The following is a 21499-nucleotide window of genomic DNA, read 5'->3' as shown; positions in this document are numbered from 1 at the left end:
ACACACACAGTTATTAGCAGACTGAATTATAAATAATAGTCAATCATAGCTACACAGTGGTTTTACTATTGAAAATCAGTCCAATCTCAAAGTACAATTAAAGCCCTGTGCCTAGATTTGTTAGAGTGCCAATTTCTCATGGTTATAGTTTGCATTCCCCTTTTTGGTTTATATTTCTTTTTTGTTCCTATTTATCCCATGATCTCATATCCGACTAGTAACATCCTTACATGATTCACTAGTTATAGAGAGTTCTCAAGGCTTTGGTTAGAATTTAATCAACTTTTTTTAATAAAAATGTCTTTCTGCTTCAAGTATAAGATCTCATCAGCTGCATTTATGTCAATCCAATTGATTCTTCTTGTCATTAGCTATTGAACAGATCTGTCCAAATGCTACAAGTACAGGAGATGTTTTCTCAAATGTAAATATGCTTACCAAGCCAGGAAGCTCAGCAACACTCCTCTTATGAGTGCTTTACAAAGGGGTGCCATAGTTTTCCAAGGAAATGAATTTTTCTTCCACAAGCGTGAGGGAGGAAACAATATATTTTGGGTTGGGTGTTACCAGAAAGATTGCCTCCCTTGAGGTAAAGTCCTTTTTATCTATGATATTCCCTCCTCTTTCCCTGTCTTCTTCCTTTCTTCCTTCTTTCATCAACTGCAGAGCCCCACCTTAGCCGAGGGTCCCACTCTTCCTTGGCTGCTCACATTTAGGAAATGCTGCATTCTACCTTTTGCCTTCCAGCCTCAATGAGGTTTTAATTTTAGTTGTTCTGTGTTCACTACATACAAGTTATATCTGTATCCGGGTAGACAATAATTTTTTCTTCACCAGAATGCCTCCCTCCATCCCCAGCCCCCCCAAAAAAAAAAGAAATCAGTGGCCTGGAACTCAGAACCAAAGGGTTGTCGTATTTGCCCTACTGCAAATATTGTACTTGACACCGACTAATCACCTGACTTGTCTGAATTCCAACCCTTCTCTCTGGTTTACAGAGACATTTGCTGAATTGTTGTTGAAGCTTTCAGTTTCAAAGCAGAATGACATTCTGGGCCCATTCTAGGGATAGCGTTGAAAAATTGAATGTGTAATCTTAGAGATTTGGTAGGATTATCGATATATGTGAGGGCTATGGAGTGAGTTATAGATATGAATTCTAAGGTTACTATATAATAGCTGGAAGGCTTTCAACATACCACACAACCTCTCAGATTCTTAGTCCATTTATATGTGAACAGAGATAAAGGGGATAATAATAATTAATTTCCATGGACATTTGGAAGAATTGAGACTCATCAAAAAAGAGTAATTCATGGCTTATAATAGTAAGTTTATAATTAAATTGTTTGTTATCATTATCATTGGAAAATTTACAGTATTTTTGTCAGACTCACTTTCTTTTTTAAGTTAACATTTTTGCTTCATTGTATTTAGTTTCTGAGTTTATAATAGGTATTAATTTGCATGGTTTTGTAATATATAAGGTGCTTTGAGCTCTCTGAGGAAAAGCCTTATGTAATTAGAAAACATTATTCACTGCACTGATGTGTGAATGCTCAAGGCTCTAGACACATCCATCTTAAAGGAAATATTAACTTCAAAATCTACATAAACCCTATAAATACATACTTAGAAAACACTGACAATTTGTAATTTTTCACTTTTCTGTTAAAAGGAAAAGCAAAGACAAAAAGTTATCATAGTGCAAAATTTATGACATGATTATGAAATGGTAGAATTCAAATCTTTAGTATCAATTTTCTATAATTTAAATGTAAGAAATTATAATTAGGACTCCTGCCAATGTTTGACAATTACAATCAAAATTCTGTCTATATGTGTTTGAGCTATGCACATTTCCTTAGTGTTATATTAGCTTTCTACATTTGCATATAAGTTAACAGCACATTTATGAATTTTAAAAATCATCCTCATTATTCTGCTGGAATAAAACAGACATTATTAACCCTTTGTATTATGAGAAAATAGAGGCACAGAGAGTTTAAGTCATTTGCCTATGATCCCATTAGAGACTAAATTTACACTATTGTCACTCTGGTGATGGTCATCTATAAAACATAAAAAGAATAATGATTGCTCCAATTTTATCGGAATGTAGATTTGAGGTGTAGGTTAGAACAAGTTCAAAGCGTACTTGAAATTAATGCTAAGAAATTTGGGTATTTTTATGAATAGAATTGAAGAGAAATATTTGAAGGCTGTGAAACAAACGACTCCCCAAATCAGAACTGTGGTATGAAAAGATTAATTTGGAGGGACCATAAAGTTCAAGAGGAATAGAGGCAGAGACTGGATGATTGGACTAGTTCAGAAAATAACACAATGATGAACAAAACCTTCAAGGAAGCAATCTAAATACAGAGAAGACTAAATTGTTAAAAAACTTGGGAAAATAGGGATTATAGAGATTAAAGAGGGTACAATGATTAAATCCCTCTTCTTTACCTGAGTTCTGAACCAATCAGTTGTTAAATAGGACATGGGAATCCAATAGATATAGGTAAATAAATCAGCTTAATAGCTGGGGTTTTTGGATGAGCCGGACTGTAGCCAATCGTCTTGCTGCACTGTAGTTAAACAATTTGGCTGGATAATTGTAGGCCTCCCTGACATGGATGCCTTTGTAACTAGCCATGGAGAAGTGGAGAATGCTTAGAATGTATGTTTTTGTGGGCAATATGCTTCTGAAAAAGCAGGAAAGTTGGAGTTTAACTGAGCATGGCTAGTTCCTCTCTCCAAATTTGCTAATCAGAAAGGTACCTCTCCTCTTGCCAGGAATAGAGAAAAAATGGTAAGGAAAGAGACCAAAAGATTATTCCAGGGAAGTTCTTCCACAGGAAAACATGAAGACTTGGAAATAAGTGAAAAATCATTAAAAAGTCATCCTTGAATGACTTATATTTAACTTAAGTCTATAGGAAATAATTAGTGACAAATTCAGCCTAAAGCAGGGTTTTCCAGCCTAAGCACTAATAAAATATTTGGTCAGATAATTTTTTTTTAATTTTTTCAGAGATGAGGTCACACTCTGTGACCCAGGCTGGAGCATAGTGGTGTGATCATAGCTCACTGCAGCTTCACACTTTCGGTTTAGCCTCTCAGGCAGCTGAGGTTACAGATACAAGCCACCCCAGTAGGCGGACAATTCTTTTATATGGGGAACACTCTTTGTGTACTGTAGGATGTTGAGCAATACGCTTGGCCTCTACCTACTAAATGCCAAGCCAATATCACACCTCCAGTTTTGATACCCCAAAAGTTTCCATACATTGCCAAATTTTCTTCAAGGAGCAAAATCTCCCCAGTCTCCCATTTGAGACTCATTGACTTAAATGGGGAAAGATTTGAACCATGGCTTTGTGATGAGGTAGGTATTCCTGTATCTCTGTGACTATTCTTTTTAGGCCCTTGGAAATCTAAGCTTTAACCTTTCCAAATATATTGTGCATGAGTCTCTGCAGGTATGTTATCTTAACTTTTGTTTAAATTTGAAAATACTATGTCTATCATTATGGGGAAATAGAATTTTCCTTGACCCTGAAATTTTAGAGATACATTGACAGCTGGAAATGGCTGAAAAATGCTACTGGAATTCTTTATGTATAATACTTATCCTAGTTTGGAAAGAAATATTTTACTTTTAAAATATTTTTAAAACCCTCTTTGTCAGGGGTAGAAGACTCTACAACTTTTATACAAGGAAATAGGTAGCACTGTGATTAGTAACACCCCAGTCATTATTGCTTTTTAGCATTCAGTTATGTGCTCTCTGAAGATATTGTAGCATTGGGCTTTATTTATTTATATTCATCTGGAATATAAATGAAGGGGGGATGCCACTCACTATGGCAGTTTTGAAATAAAAAATAAAAAGTCAAAAAATAATTTTTTCCCTCTACAGTTGTGGTTAGCACAAATAGCCCTAGGATTTAATAACAAGACTTAGGTTCAAGGCTTAGTTTGGCTCCTGACTAGATTCTTTACCTTGAAAAAGGCATTTCACCTTTCTAGGACTAAGGGGATGTGTGGGACTCAGAACAACTTTGCACAGTGCTGTGTAGTTGCTTGGATGGATTGGATAGTTTTTTTCCGATTCACAGTTGTCCTGAAAGCATACCTTTGTCCCCTAGGAGGGCTCTCCAATTGGTAGTTCTTAAAGTTTGCTGTCTTTTTCACCGCAAAACTCAATTTCCTAGCTAGGCCCTGTATTGCAGACCTGTGGTCCCAGCTCTTCAGGAGGCTGAGGTGGAGGATCCCTAATAGCCGGAAGTTCCAGGCGGCAGTGCACTGTGATCACACCTGTGAATAGTCGCTGCACTGTAGCCTGGGCAACAGAGCGGGACAACATTTCTAAATGAAAAATTTTAAAAAGTCAAATTCCTATTCAATTAAGTAAGCCACTGTAGCGCAAAAACAACTTCTAGCCTCAACCTACTGCTTTATTTTCTCCTCTTCTGTTAGGCTCTAGTCTTGCAATTGTTTCCCGGATTTTCAGTGCTTTGTGGCTTCTTTGTTATTTTCTCTCGTATTTAATGATAGGTGAGTTGCCACTGTCAGAAATGGGAAATCTGACACATTCAATGTAAATAATTGGTATACGGAGGAATATAACAATTGAAAAGCACTACAATGTAAGTATGAAGAACAAATCCATGAAACTTTTGGGTAATTTATTTCCATTTTTACCAAGGTATTTATATTTTGTCATATTGAATACATCACTTTATATTACATTTTTGTCTTTATACGGTTTTATAAAGAGTTTAATACACACAAATGAATATTTATATTCCTGTTTTCATTTAACATAAGTGAAAGGTGTAAATAATAGTAAGATGAAGAACTTGTACCCACTGTGTAATTTAAACTGAATATTGTAAATTTTTTTAACCCCAAGAGTGAACTATTATTCTGAATTTTGTATTCATTAATCCTTTGCTTTCTTGCATCATTCTTAGGTTGTTACATATTTATCACATTTTTGGTAATCGTAAAAATTTCTATGTACACACACTGATTATTGAATAATATTTCGTGAATTGTATATAATTATTTATTGAACTCTTCAATATTAGACATTTGGTTTGTTTTCACTTTTAAAAATAAATCATACTGGCTGGGCGCGGTGGCTAACGCCTGTAATCCCAGCACTTTGGGAGGCCGAGGTGGGTGGATCACGAGGTCAGGAGATGGAGACCATCCTGGCTAACATGGAGAAACCCCATCTCTACTAAAAATACAAAAAATTATCTGAGCGTGGTGACGTGTGCCTGTAGTCCCAGCTACTCGGGAGGCTGAGGCAGGAGAATCGCTTAAACCTGGGAGGCAGAGGTTGCAGTGAGCTGAGATCGTGCCACTGTGCTCCTGCCTGGGTGACAGAGCAAGATCCCGTCTCAAAAATAAATAAATAAATAAATAAATAAATAAAAATAAATAAATGAATTATGCTGTTATCTCTAGGCATGAGATTTCCTTTATATTTCTGTATACTTGGGATATAAGATCAAGAAATTAAATTAAGGTATTAAAGAATTTTGTTTTAAATCTTTGATTTTGCACTTAAATCCTTTTCAGAAAAGTATGTACTTGTTATCAGGGTAGTACTGTGATTAAGGAGGTAGAATCTTTAATCAGACCACATGAGTTAAAGCCCCAATTTCCCTTCAGCTAACTGCCTGCCTGGGCAAGTTTTTAATTGCTCTGTGTTTCTTTATTTATGTTTGTAAAGTGATGTAAATAAAATACCTACTTCATAAGGATGTTTGAATATTTAATGAAGTAAAAGAATTTACGTAAATATGCTGTATGCAAAAGATTTAATAAGTGATCAATATCAGTATCAATACGAGTGTGCTGTACTAACAACATACTATCGTGAAGAATAATTTGCATATTTTATGAAATGTTTACTAGTATCTGAAGTAAAAATTATATTTTTAGTTTATGTTTCCTTTAATTACTATTTATTTTTACATACGCATTAACTATATATTTTATAAATCAGAAAGCCATAACTGTTTCATTGACATAAAGGAATACTTGTATTCTTATGAATTTTTATTAACTCTAATGACCAACATATTTAGCTGTTTTTATACAATGCTTTTTGTAAATGTTTCTCCTATTTTACAATTTTTCATTTTGTTTTTGTTTGAAGATACAGATTTTAAAATTTGCAACGCAATAAAATGTTTGGATTCTAACTTTGGTGACTTCTCCCATTGGAATTATGTTTAGCATGTGTTTCTTTATCTTAGAAAATATTAGTCTAAAAATTTCCTTTCAGTTAAGCCATTTTACTTTGGAAATTAAATACATCAGGAATTTATTTTGGTCTAAGTTATGATATTATTTATGCCCCCTCATTAATTCCAAGAGCTATTCAGCAGAAATCCTAGAGTATTGAAGAAAAAGAAGTTGTTATTGGAAAATGATTATAGTGTCTCTCTTGCCAGTAGCTCTTATTAATTTGTCTTATTGTTGCTTGTTGCAAACTGAAGAGCTGAGCTGCCAGTGTTTCTCTGTTAAGTATAATATTTGCTACTGGATTTCAGAATAACAGACGCTTTTTATCACGTGAAAAATACCCTTCTATTTTGGATTTCTCAGCATTTTAATGAGGAATAGTTATTAAACTTTATTAAATTTCTTTCTCATATTGTTAGAAATGTCAATTTCTTTCTCCAATATCTTTTTAAAGGGCTATGCACAACTGAGGAAAATATGCAAAACAAACAGTCCAGGTAATTGCACATTCTGTACTTTTTAGACTTCTGTATCATAGTTGTACATATTTGGGGGAACATGTGATATTTTAATACATGTATAAAATGTGTAATGATTAAATCAGGGTAATTGGGATTTTTGGCACCTCAAACATTTATCTTTTCTTCGTATTGGGAACATTACAATTATTCCCTTCCAGCTATTTTAAAATATACAACACATTAATGATAACTATAATTTCTCTACTATTGCACATTCTGTATTATTAGCTAAGGTTTTGAATCTAATATCTTAGATGTTAGACTTGGATCATGTTCTTTCTCATACGAAGCTAAATTCTCCCTATTAATTTTTTCTATACAACAATGTAAAGAAGTGATAATAATAATGATGTTGAGAGTTAATATAATGATGACAATGACAATGACTATAGTTAATACTTACTGAAAGTTTACTATCTATTACTTCATGCACTAAACTTCTCATGCTTTATTTTATTTAATATTCTTATTAAATGAGAAACAGAGAAGTTAAGAAATATAATAAACACGGATCGTCTAAATGGAGATGGGGTGAGAGAACAGACATTTGGAATGTGGAGTCAAGTCACTCACCTTTATTTCTTGGGAAGACTTGCTTCTGTATATTTTCCCATCAATGACCTCATTTAAAAGGTTTTGTTGGCCAGGCGCGGTGGCTCATGCCTGTAATCCCAGCACTTTGGTAGCCACAGTGGGTGGATAGCCTGAGGTCAGGAGTTTGAGACCAGCCTGGCCAACATGGTGAAACCTCGTCTCTACTAAAAATACAAAAATTAGCTGGGTGTGGTGGTGGGTGCCTGTAATCCCAGCTACTTGGGAGGCTGAGGCAGGAGCATCGCTCAAACCTGGGAGGCAGAGGTTGCAGTGAGCCAAGGCCACACCATTGCACTCCAGCCTGGGTGACAAGAGCGAGACTCAGTTTAAAAAAAAAAAAAAATTTTGTTTTTTCCTGATTTCTGTGTCTCAAGAAAGACCCAAGATATCACCTTTAGAATACTTTTATATTCAACATTATATGAATAGTTGAAATCCTTATTGGGATTTTGAAAGAGAAAGATAATGGTAAGTAAGGGGAAATAAGGGAAAATGAGATGCCCTGGTTATTTTTAGTGTTCTAGAAAGTTCCTGTTCAAATAGATAATTGCAGTTTATTTCTCAGGTTAGTGAAGCTTCTGCATCCCAGAATTCTAGCAACAACAGGGTTTAATACTTCTTTGATACTGTTTGTACTATTTTCCATCAGAAGATAGAGCATATGGTTACTAGTTTTTTACAGTGTTTCTAAACTTTTCCTCATAATTGATGTAATCGGGGTAAAGTCTCTCTGGATTTGGGTATATTTCTTAATCCATATTTAGTTTATATTCCTGTTGCTATATTTTCTTTCTTTTGTTTCTGTGATATGCATTTTAATAGGATGGGAGACAGAAATCTACAAAATTCCCTGGTCACATAACCTAGAAATCTAGTTTACTATTTAACTATAAAGTGCTGTTGGATTTATTGAGTTTCACATGTAGGATTGTTTGCACAGATTTGATCATTTTGTTACTGTATTAATCAGTGAAAGCAAATATCTATCTGGTACTATGTCCAAAAATAACAGATAATTGAAGATTAACACATATAAAATAATTTTAGTGCTGCTGGTATTAGATGAGTCCACAAGACATCTTAATGAATTATAATTTTACTTGTACATAGAAATAAGCGGCTCACTAGTTGCTTTCTGGTCATGAAAATGTTAACATATCTCAAATAGTTGACCATTGGTGACTTGAAAATAACACTTAGTTGAAATATTTACAGATATGAAGAAACAGGCATAGCCGATTTTGTAAGATGTGAAAAGATATAAACTAAAGTCAGATTTAAAAAATGTAGAACAGTAGTAGCAATTTAAAAACTGCATGAAAACAGGAAGTTCACTTACTTTCCCACCTGAAACAATCTAAAGAAAAAGGAGATATATAAAACAACTATTTTTTTGTTGTTGTTGAGACAGAATTTTGCTCTTATTGCCCAGGCTGGAGTGCAATGGTGCAATTTCGGCTCACTTCAACCTCCGCCTTCCAGGTTCCAGCCATTCTCCTGTGTCAGCCTCCCGAGTAGCTAGAATTACAGGCACCCACCATCACACCCAGCTAATTTTTGTATTTTTAGTAGGGGCGGGGTTTCACCATGTTGGCCAGGCTGGTCTCGAACTCCCAACCTCAGGTGATCCACCCGCCTTGGCCCCCCAGAATTTGGGATTACAGGAGTGAGTCACCACATCCGGCCTAAAACAACTATTTTTAAGACACTGAATATCAGGTGATTACGGAAAGTAATTCTTGAAATAGCCTATTATTTATCTCCATTGACTGCATTCTGAAAGTTTCCAGGCTGTAGAACAGGAAGGGGGAACCATGGCAGAGCCTACAGAATACCTGAGTTGAGGTGACAGAGTCTGGGGAGATCAAGGGGGCACTAGAGGGTTCAGGGTATAGAAACAGGGGCGATGTGTTTAGAGACAGAGCTCTGAGATCTGTAGAGTTCCCTTCAATAATTCAATAGAGTAATGATATCCACATGTGGGTGAGAAAACTAGCTAAGAGTGAGAAAGAACCGACTGAAAGAATTAGAGGCAACAGTGCCCTAGATAAAACAGGCCCAGAACTAGTGTCTGTTTTCACAAGCCACGCTGCAAAAAATAAATAAATCAATCATTGATGGGATATTGGGTAGAGTACTCAGATATGTCCTGCGGCAGTAGTGGGAATAATTAGCCTTAGGGTAAGTATTTCTCAGAATCCAACTGAAAACCACAAAAAGCAAGATTCTAAAGAATTAAACCATTTTCAATTATCTTGACAGCACCTCGGAACAAAGCTGAAGAAGTTTTATAAGAATACAAAAGTTTTCAACACTCAACTAGGTAAAATTCAGAGTCTGACATCCATTAAAAATTATTGGAATACCAAAAGAAGGAAAACACAATTCATAATGAGGGAAAAGCAAGCAATCAATAAAAATGAATACAGACCTGGCATAGATATTAGAACTACCAGTAAAGAAAATTAACAGATCCTTTACCAAATAATGGCTGCAGATGGCAAATAAGTGCATGAAAAGATACTCAACATCATTAGTCACTGGGGAAATATGAATGAAAGCCATAATGAGATATCACTATACATCTACTAGAATGGCTAAAATTAAAATTACTGACTATACCAAATGCTAGTGAGGATGTGATAGAGCTGGTATTCTCATACACTGCTGATGGGCATACAAAATTGCACAAGAACTTTCAACAACAGTTTGGCAATTTCTTTAAAAATTTAAATATAAACCTAACATATGATTCAGGCATTTCACTCCTTATTGGTAAACAATAATATCGATTACAGCTTTCTACTAGTAAAGCTTCTGTAAACATTTGTACATAAGTCTTCATATGGACATATGCTTTACTTCTCTTGGGTGAAACTTTTAACTCTAAAAGAGTAGAAAGTTTTTCTGTCTTATCCACTACCCCAACTTAGTGCTTAGCACAGTGTGTGGCCACGGTAGAAGTTAAAACACTCGTTGACTAAAATAATATGATATCTTAGAGACTTTATCTTGTCAACAGGTCAGTGGATGGACAAATTATGGCTATATCAATACCATGGAATATTGCTTCACAGTAAAAGAGAAGTGTTATTGATTTTCGCAGCAAGATAGATACATCTCAGGATAATTATTTTAAGTAGAAGAAGTCAGACCATAAAGAGTACATACAGTTTGATTCCATGTATATAAAATTCTAGCCAATTAAAAGCAAGCCTTGCATTAATAATGACAGAAGCAGATCAGTGATTACCTGGGGAGTCAGAGGGTCAAGAGGGGTGGGAGGGAGAAGTAACAGAGGCATGTCAGGAAAGCTTTGGGGGTAATAAATATGTTCACTATCTTGATTGTGGTGAGTTCACAGGTATATATGTACATTAACACTCGTCAAATTGTACATTTTAAATATGTGCCACTTATTATGTGTCAATTACATCTTAATACACATGGTTATCACACCCTCCTCCCCCAAATAAAGTAGTAACTGTCAGCTCTTAGGATCTTATTCTAGTAACAAAAATGTATTGGAGATACGCAACTCTCTGTTCCATATTTTCCTCTCATTTGCTGTTTTATCTTCTTTGGACTGTTCTTTAGCTCTTGGTCCTTCTTAGAATTCTCTATCTCCCTGCTCTCTCTATGTGACCTCCTTATGTGAATTCCTTATACTTTAATGTCTTCAAAACACCAAATATATTTCTATAATTTACATACATTTCCATAGCTCCTGATCTAAATACAACTATATCTTGGAAATGTTTCTTACCTTATTTTTTCTCCTGTTACTTGAGACAGAAAGAAATTCTGTTCGTAATGGAGAATGTTCTTTGTGTATTCCACAGTTGCTTTCCACCTGCACCTAAAACACAGAGCATCTTTCTCTATCTTCACTGTGAGAGTTTGGTGCAGAAACCATGATAGAGTCGGTGGACACCTAAGATCCCAGGAGTTTGGTTTCCACTTAGCCTCCATCAGTTCATCAACATTACTATCTAAGTGCTACTACCAGTAACTGGTTCTGGCAGTTTATGCTTCAAGCAAGCTTATCTTGACTATGGTTCTCTGTATTTGCCTGTCTCAAAATTTTGGAGTGGTGATTTTTCTGTGAGCTCAATTCTGAAATCCAAAATAAGGTGTTGACTTTCAGTTTGTTCAGCGTTTTTTCTTGTGAAGATGAAAGTGACTACTTCAAAGTTTTTCCATGTCAGAGCTAAAACTATATGTCATTTTGTTGTATCCATATAAGAAGGTGTTACTCAGTGATTAAAAAAAAAAAAAGAGTAAACTCTCAAGGCACGAGAAGACATGGAGGAACCTAAAATGCATGTTGCTTTGTGAAAGAAGCCGGCCGAAATGGGTACATACTGTGTGATTCCAACTACATGGCATCTTTAAAAGCCAAAACTGTAGATAATAAAAAGAGCAGCGGTTGACAAAATTCAGGGGAAAGACAGGAGAAATGAAGAGGTGAGGCACAAGAGATTCTTAGGGTGATGAAACTATTCTTTCTGATACTGTAATGGTGAAAACATGACAGCATACACTTGTCAAAATCCACACAACTCTACAACACAAAGAGCATTAATGTAAACTATGAACTTTAGTTGATAATGTATTGTTCACTAGTTATAACAAATGCACCACATTGATGCAAAATGTTAACAAGAAGAGAAACTGTGTGTTTGTCAGGAGGTGGCTATGGGAACTCACTATCCTAATTGCTCAATTTTTTTTCTGAAAAAATCTAAAGCTATTCCAAAAATAGTCTATTAATTTAAAATATACCAATCAGGAAAAATGATTGAGGAATTTTCTTGCACTAGGATCACTGCAAAAATCATTTTATTTCTATGGAAGAAAAATAAACAGTTATAACATAAATTTGAAATTAAAACATACCAGTTGAAATGACATAATAATACAAAGTACCTAGAAAACTTTCTAGTAAAGGACATATAAGATTTTATGCAGGAAATTATAAAACTTTATTGAAATATATATACTAACACATAAATAGAAAGGCCTTGTTCATATATTGAAATATTCAATTTCACAAGGAAATGATTTCCTCCAGAATGATTTATATATTCAGTATAATTTAATAAAGGTTTTAAAAATGATAGAGAATATAAATAATCAAAATAACCATGTGTCTTAGTTCATTTGTGTTGCTATAAAGGAATACCTGAGGCTGGTAATTTATGATTCACGATTCTGCAGGCTGTGCAGGAAGCACAGCACCAGCATCTGCTTCTGGTAAGGGGCTCAAGAAGCTTCCACTCATGGCAGAAGGAGAAGGGGAGCCAGCATATGCAGATCACATGGCAAGAGAGGGAGCAAGAGTTAGAGAGAAGTTGCCAGACTCTGTAACAACCAGCTCTTGAGGAAACTCTTGCAGGAACTAATAGATCGATGATGGCACCAAACCATTCATGGTGGATCCACTCCCATGACCCAAACACCTCCCACCAGGCCCCACCTCCAACACCAGAGATCAGATTTCAGCATAAGGCTTGGTGGAGCCAAACAAACCAAATCCAAACCATAGTACCACGAATAACACATTTCCTAACAAATTTTCAGTACTTGTTATAAAACTATAGTAGTTAAGACCTATATTAACCTAGTTTTAGATACTTGGACCAATGGATCAGAATAGCACAGAGACAGGCCTACATAAACATGGGCACTTGATATCATAGAGGTGATTTTACAGATCATTGGAGTAAAATTGAATTTGAGAATTGGTATGATAATATTTGTTATCCATATGGAAAGACAAAATTGAACTCTAAATAATAATGTGACTGTTTAGTGAAAAATCAATGTTATTTACATTAAATTTCTAAATGTAAAAGCTAAAACTGTAAATATTTTAAAAATTCATGTAGAATATCCTATATTGGTATAGAAAGCAAACAAAAAGACATAAATCATAAAAGAAAATATTGATAACAAATATATTACAGTTACAAAATTTTAATCCAAAAAATAAAGATACTGGACATTGGCTGGGTGCAGTGGTGCATGCTTGTAATGCCAGCGCTTTGGAAGGCCAAGGTGGGTAGGTGACTTGAGCCCAGGAGTTCAAGACCAGCCTGGGCAATACGGCAAAACCACATCTCTAAAAACTGCAAAACTTAGCTGGGCAAGGTGGCATGCAGCTGTGGTTCCAGCTCCTCCTGGGGCTGAAGGTGAGAGGATCACTTGAGCCCAGGAGGTCCAGGCTTCAGTGAGCTAAGCCCAGATTGTGCCACTGCATTACAGCCTGAGTGACAGAGCAAGAACCTGTCTCCAAAAAAAAAAAAAAAGAAAAGAATAAAAAAAGATACTGGATACTGAGACACAAACTGGGAGAATGTATTTTCAACATATAAACTCAGGAAATAATTATCATTTAGATTACATGAAGTAAATATAATCAATGAACAAGAATAAAAAATAAAACAAACAATGGGCAAAAGAGTTAAGAGAAATTTCAGAGAATAGGAGAAACTAACAGATAATGGAGTAGCCCATGGACTCAACATGCTAGTTATAATCACTAATAGAAAAAATTAATTGGAAACCATTCAAAGATACATCTTCACAACTAGCAGATTGTCAAGAACTACAGTCGGACAATATCATGATTTGGTGAGGTTTGATGAAGTGGAAACTCCCATGTACTCAGGGATACATAAACAGTAGTAGATGCCTCAACTAGTTTGCAAAATATTTTGGCATTGCCTAGTAATCTTGAAATGCACCTACTCTGTCCAACAATAATTACTGTTCTGAGTATAACCATAGAAATTCCTGGCATACGCATGCGGGGAGATATGTATAAGACAGTAGCATTCTTTATAACAGAAAAGAAAAAAGCAGAAGTTACTCAATTCTCTGACATGGTAGGATGAAAAAAGGAATTACAGCATATTCTTTAAATGAAAACATATATTGCAATGAAAATAAATGCAATACAGCTATAGTCATTGAGTGAATTTCTAAAATATAACACTAAGGTAAATAAGCAAGTTACAGAAAAATATATGCTATATAATTCTACTTATAAAAGTCCAGAAAGAGTAAAAAATAAGCTTTCATTTAGGTATATGCACTTAAGAGACATAAGTAAAAGCAGAGGATGATTAACACAATGTTCAGCATAGTGGCTGCCTGTAGAGGGGCGTGAGTAGTGTACAATTTACAGAGGAGAGAATAGGGGATTTCTGCTATTGGTATAACATTCTATTTGTTGGCCTAGGTAATGGGGTACAGAGTTATTTGCTTTATCCTTTTTTCCAAATACACATGTATGTATTTACATACTCACATGTGGGATATATTTAAATCTGAAGAAAAAGAAAAATTAATTAAAACTGTAAATACTAACCATATATTTTTCTCTTGAAAACTTAGGAGTAACTTTTAGAAAACTATGCTTTTTTATACCATTTAAAAAGTTATTACTTTTCACCTAAAACATACATCCATTTATGTTGGTGTATTCCTTAATTCTCCAAGTCCCCTTTGTAATTTGTAGATAAGATATCTAGAAGATTTCATCAGCATTCACATTTTATAACACTATCTATATGCTGATAACTCAAAAATCTATCTCTACAGCTCAGGTTGATATATGGTGTTCCGAATTATTATTTATAGAGTCTTAGCGAGTATCTTAACCTTAAATTTTAAGGGTTTGAAAAGTATGATTGTACTAAGAAAAATATTTTAGATTTCCTAGAGAAGAAAATTTTGTCAAAGAGTAGAAAAAAGTAGGCAGTTGAAGAATCTGAGGCCCCAGAATCACAGGGTGATTTTAGATTGAGATAGTGAGGCAGCTAGAGGAATGAAAGGCTGGGCTTAGAGTGAAATGTTGGAGCTTACATGCTTTGAGATAGACAATTCCTGGACAGTAATATACTTCAATCCATTTTTATCATGACTACTTGAAGAGTATGAATAATTTGAAGATTTTGGAGAAGAAACAGGTAAGACATTTATTGATCCAAGTCACCAGAGAGTATAAAATAAAGGGGCAATGCTGTACCAGACACCTACATAAAACAAACCAAAACACTGTGGTGACTAATGCAAGAAAGTTTGGTAAAGAAAGTTATAGCAAAGTTGCACAAATCTCAATAAAAGCCAGACTTTTACGTGTGGAAGAATGTGGTAGGAAGAATTCTAAGATGATCCCCATGATCTCCGATTCCCTACATTATGCCTATAATAATGGCAAAAGGGATTTTACTGATGCAAGTAAGTCTCCTAATCAGGTGACTCTGAGTTAATCAAAAGGAACATTACGTAGGTGGGTGTGACCTTTTTTATATGAGCTAGCTAGATTTAGAAGTCAGAAGCTGGGAAGTCAGAAAAATCCAAAGCATTCAGATAATTATAATTATTTTAGTCCTTTTTATAATCTTACGATGATTTAACATTTTATTAGTAGTTTTAGCAAATGCAGAAGAAAAGCAAATTATGTAATGGGGCAAATATTGGAAAAGAAAATATAAAAATATCTCACTGTTCTGCTGACAGCGTGTACCTAGAAAACTAGTTAGAACGGCTAAAATTAATAAGTAAACATTGTATGTTGGCTGGAAAAAATGCAAATATGTAAGTACTAACTTTCTCTACTTTAGAAAAGTAACTGACAAGAAAACATAAGAAAGTATGTTAATAATAGCAACAAAAGCTATCTGCAACAAATATAACAGTAAAAGTATCAGAATATTGAACTAAATACAAGATCTTGTAATCAGCCATTTTCAAAAGACAGATAACCTACAATAGGGATTGATAAATACTCTGTAAAAAGATATATCATATTTTAGACTTAGCAGGTTTTATATGGTTTCTGTCACGTATACTTCTTTGTTATTTGGTACAACCCCTTAAAAATGTGAAAGATATTCTTAGCTCATGAGCTGTACATAAACAACACAGGCAAGATTTGGACCACAGGTAATTTGCGAAAACTTGACCTACACTAGAATGACATTGAGAATGGCATGAGACTTTTCTTCAATATTAATGAAAGCAAGACACCAGGGGAACAGTATCTAAAAACAGCTGACAGTATGAAAGTATCAATATGTAATTTTGCTTCAAGAGAAACTATTATTCAAGAAAAATGACCAAATAAAAGCTATTTTTATATACATCCAACTAGGAAAGTAATCCTAGAGGAACAGTATAAGTTGTAAGAAGTGATGTACTACAATAAAATGGTTACCAAAAAAGCAAAAATCATGTAAACCCAAACACTATTTATGTACCATAGTCATTATTGTGCTAAATACAAAATTAAAATTAAAGATAAAACTAAGTTTGCCAAATTTAGTATTAAAAGTATAGGGTAGGCTGCTCTGTCTAGGGAGTAGATATTCTTTTGTTTCTTTAGTACTCTAGTAAACTTGCTTTCACTTAAAAAGTAAATAAATAAAAATAAAAATATAGGGTACTCTTTTAGATTTCAATCTTTGGAAAACAACATAAATTTTTAGTATAAATATGTGCCAAATACTGCCCTGGTCTACATTATATTATAAAATTATACGTTGCTTATCTGAACTTCAAATTTAACTGTTAGGCCTGTATTTTTCTAGCAACTCTGGACAAAACTAAAATACCTGGAAATATTTTGAGCCCATAAATCTAAATAATTTTACTGTGTGAGTATGCAGGTTCAGGTATAGTTAATATTTAAATTATAATAATGCTAAAATTTTATAGTCAATTACTAAAACAATAGAAATGCCATTCTTTGGAAAGGCTAACCAAATAGACAAGTCTGTTGAGATGATTCAAGAAATAAGCAGAATGAAAGTGGAATAAAGGGAAAATTATTAAAAAAAGATACTCAACTCTCCAAATTTGGGATGGAAAGCAAGAAAGAAGAAAAGAACATAAAAATAGAACAAAAATGTAAGTAAAAATAAAAGGTGATTAAAAAGTACAAATATATTAATTATCAGGCAATATGTAAGTGAAATCAACTGACTATCAAAAGTCAGAAATTTGAGACTGAATGTTAAAAACTAGCTATGTGGACTTTAAAAAAAATTAACGTAAAATGCACTGAAAATGTTGAAAGTCAGAGAATGAAAAAAGATGTGTTAGAAGAATAGTACACAATGAAGATGGTGTAGCTGTATCAATAGCAGACAATATAGACTTAAGAATAAAATTAGAGATAGACAATGTCACTTTATACTTATAAAAATCTAATTGGCAGAACATAAATGATAATTTTAAATAATTACTCATTAAAATAGCTTGAAATATTGATGGATTTACAAGAAAATTAAACAAATTCACCACACATCATAAAAATTCAAAACACTTGGCAGGGCGCAGTGGCTCACACCTGTAATCCCAGCACTTTGGGAGGCCGAGGTGGGTTGATCATCTGAGGCTGGGAGTTCAAGACCAGCCTGACCAACATGGAGAAACCCCATCTCTACTAAAAATACAAAATTAGCTGGGCGTGGTGGCTCATGCCTGTAATCCCAGCTACTCAGGAGGCTGAGGCAGGAGAATTGCTTGAACCTGGGAGGCGGAGGTTGTAGTGAGCTGGGATCGCTCCATTGCACTCCAGCCTGGGCAACAAGAGCGAAACTCCGTCTCAAAAAAAAAAAAAAAAAAAAAAAAAAAAAAAAAAATTCAAAACAGTTTTCTGAATTACTGAAGGACCAAGGAGATTTTTTGGTACCATATGTTTATTCCATATTTAGGTTTTCTACTCTGTTGATTTCTTTTTTTTTTAATCAGCTTTATTTTAGATATAGGGAGTACAAATGCAGGTTTGCTACATGAGTATATTGCATCCAGGTAGTGAGCACAGTACCCAATAGTTAGTTTTTCAATCCACCTCCTTCTCCCTCCCTCCCGTCTCAAGTAGCCTATGGTCTCTTTTGTTCCCATGTTTATATGTCCATGCGTGCTCAATGTTTAGCTCCTACTTATAAGTGAGAGCATGCAGTATTTGGTTTTCTGTTCCTGTCTTAGTTCACTTAGGATAATGGCCTCCAGCTCCATCCATGTTGCTGCAAAGGTCCTGATTTCATTATTTGTTATAGCTGTGTAGTATACCATGGTGTACATGCACCACATTTTTTTTTTAATCCAGGCAAACGTTGGGCACCTAGGTTGATTCTATGTCTTTGCTATTGTGAATCGTGTGGTGATGAGCACACAAGCGCATGTGTCTTTTTGGTATAATGATCTATTTTCCTTTGGGTACATACCCAGTAATGGTGTCACTGGGTTGAATGGTAGCTCTGTTTTCAGCTCTTTCAGAAAGCTCCAAACTGCATTCCACAGTGGCTAATTTACATTCCCACCAGCAGTGTGGAAGTGTTCCCTTTTCTCCACAGTCTCACCAGAATGTCACACGTGTCCGTGTGAAGAGACCACCAACAGGATTTGTGTGAGCAACAAGGCTGTTCATTTCACCTGGGTGCAGGCGGGCCGAGTCCGAAAAGAGAGTCAGTGAAGGGAGACAAGGGTGGGGCCGTTTTATAAGATTTGGGTAGGTAATGGAAAATTACAGTCAAAGGGGGTTGTTCTCTGGCAGGCAGGGGCAGGGGTCACAAGGTGCTCAGTGGGGTAGCTTCTGAGCCAGGAGAAGAAATTTCACAAGGTAATGTCATCGGTTGAGGCAGGAACAGGCCATTTTCACTTCTTTTGTGATTCTTCAGTTGCCTCAGGCCATCTGGATGTATGCTGCAGGTCACAGTGGATATGATGGCTTAGTTTGGGCTCAGAGGCCTGACATTAAACTTCTTTAACAAACAATTGCTGGCTTTGCGTTTCTCTTTCCTCCAAAATTGCCAAGGCCTTGACTTACTTACTGCTAAAAAAGGAAGACTGTACATTTTTTAATGAAGAGTGTTGTTTTTACCTAAATCAATCTGGCCTGGTGTATGACAACATAAAAAAACTCAAGGACAGAGCCCAAAAACTCACCAACCAAGCAAGTCATTATGCTGAACCCTCTTGGGCACTCTCTAATTGGATGTCCTGGGTCCTCCCAATTCTTAGTCCTTTAATACCTGTTTTTTTCCTTCTCTTATTCAGACCTTGTAACTTCTGCTTAGTTTCTCAATTCATACAAAACCATATCCAGGCCATTCTATACAACAAATGTTCCTTCTAACAACCCCACACTATCACCCCTCACCCCAAAATCTTTCTTCAGCTTAATCTCTCCCACTCTAGGTTCCCACGCCGCCCCTAATCCCGCTTGAAGCAGCCCTGAGAAGCATCACCCATTATCTCTCCATACCACCTGCCAAAAATGTTCGCTGCCCCAACACTTCAACACTATTTTATGTTATTTTTCTTATTCATATAAGAAGATAGGAATGTCAGGCCTCTGAGCCCAAGCTAAGTCATCATATCCACTGTGACATGCATGTATACATCCAGATGGCCTGAAGTAACTGAAGAATCACAAAAGAAGTGAAAATGGCCTGCTCCTGCCTTAACTGATGACATAACCTTGTGAAATTCTTTCTCCTGTCTCAGAAGCTCCCCCACTGAGCACCTTGTGACCCCTGCCCCCGCCTGCCAGAGAACAACCCCCTTTGACTGTAATTTTCCATTACCTACCCAAATCCTGCAAAATGGCCCCACCCCTATCTCTCTTCCCTGACTCTCTTTTCGGACTCAGCCCACCTGCACCCAGGTGAAATAAACAGCCCTGTTGCTCACATAAAGCCTGCCGGTGGTCTCTTCACAGGGACGTGCGTGACACAGAATAACCGTTGTTTTTGGATTTTTAATAACAGCCATTCTGACTGATGTGAGATGATCTCTCCTTGTGGCTTTGATTTGCATTTCTCTAATAATTAGTGATGATGAACAATTTTAATATTTTTTTTGGCTGCTCATATGTCTTTTGAGAAATGTTTGTTCATTGTCTTTGCCCGTTATAATGGTGTTGTTTTTGCTTATTGATTTAAGTTCCCTTATAGATTCTGGATATTAAACCTTTCTCAGACATATAGTTTGTAAATATTTTCTCCCATTATATAGGTTGTCTGTTTAACCTGTTTTTCACGCGCATCCGTGTGAAGAGACCACCAAACAGGCTTTGTGTGAGCAATAAAGCTTTTCAATTACCTGGGTGCAGGTGGGCTGAGTCTGAAAAGAGAGTCAGTGAAGGGAGAGAGGGGTGGGGCTGTTTTATAGGATTTGGGTAGGTAATGGAAAATTACAGTCAAAGGGGGTTGTTCTCTGGCTGGCAGGGGTGGGGGTCACAAGGTGCTCAGTGGGGGAGCTTTTGAGCCAGGATGAGCCAGGAGAAGGAATTTCACAAGGTAATGGCTTCAGTTAAAGCAGAAACCGGCCATTTTCACTTCTTTTGTGATTCTTCACTTGCTTCGGGCCATCTCGACATATACATGCAGGTCACAGGGGATATGATAGCTTAGCTTGGGCTCAGAGGCCTGACACTGTTGATAGTTTATTTTGCTCTGCAGACGTTCTTTAACTTCATTAGGCAATACTTGTCAATTTTTGTTTTTGCTGCAATTGCTTTTGGCTACTAAGCCAAAAATTATTTGCCAAGGCTGATATCGGGAGGGTATGTCCTAGGTTTCCTTATAGGACATTTACAGTTCGAAGTCTTACATTTACATCTTTAATCCATCATCAGTTAATTTTTGTATATGGTGAAATGTAAGGGTCCAGTTTTATTCTTCTACATATGACTAGCCAATTATCCCAGCATGATTTACTAAATGGGGAGTCCTTTCCTCATTGCTTTTGTTGGCCTTGTCGAAGATCAGAGGATTGTAAGTAGAAGGCTTCATTTCTGAGTTTTCTATTCTATTTCATTGGTTCATGTGTCTGTTTTTGTACCATTACCATGCTATTTTGGTTACCATAACTTAAAATATAGTTTGAAGTCGGGTAATGCTTTGTTCTTCTTGCTTAGAATTGCTTTGACTATTCAGGTTCTTTTTTGGTTTCATATGAATTTTAGAATAGTGTTTTTTTTTTAATTCTGTGAAGAATAACATTGGTAGTTTTATAGGAATAGCATTCAATCTGCAGATTGCTTTGGGCAATTGGCCATTTTAATGATGCTGACTGTTTTAGTCCATGAGCATAGA

At 35.6% G+C, this 21499-nt stretch overlaps 3 annotated features.

Annotated features, from left to right (window-relative positions):
- Positions 3086 to 3175: a silencer, noted in NCBI's record as "silent region_15005". NCBI's record gives its function as "represses an Ori minimal core promoter by ATAC-STARR-seq in GM12878 lymphoblastoid cells {active_cell/tissue: GM12878}" and the evidence as "EXISTENCE:reporter gene assay evidence [ECO:0000049][PMID:35858748]".
- Positions 18894 to 19446: an enhancer, noted in NCBI's record as "H3K27ac hESC enhancer chr3:191646498-191647050 (GRCh37/hg19 assembly coordinates)". NCBI's record gives its function as "activates a minimal SCP1, AML or CMV promoter by ChIP-STARR-seq in primed H9 embryonic stem cells {active_cell/tissue: H9 hESC(primed)}" and the evidence as "EXISTENCE:reporter gene assay evidence [ECO:0000049][PMID:30033119]".
- Positions 20384 to 20883: an enhancer, noted in NCBI's record as "OCT4-NANOG-H3K27ac hESC enhancer chr3:191645061-191645560 (GRCh37/hg19 assembly coordinates)". NCBI's record gives its function as "activates a minimal SCP1, AML or CMV promoter by ChIP-STARR-seq in primed H9 embryonic stem cells {active_cell/tissue: H9 hESC(primed)}" and the evidence as "EXISTENCE:reporter gene assay evidence [ECO:0000049][PMID:30033119]".

This window comes from Homo sapiens, chromosome 3 (genome assembly GCF_000001405.40).
Source record: "Homo sapiens chromosome 3, GRCh38.p14 Primary Assembly".
In the NCBI taxonomy this organism is placed as follows: Eukaryota; Metazoa; Chordata; class Mammalia; order Primates; family Hominidae; genus Homo; species Homo sapiens.
Note: the sequence above shows the minus strand (reverse complement) of the source record. Positions and strands in the feature narration are given on the sequence as shown.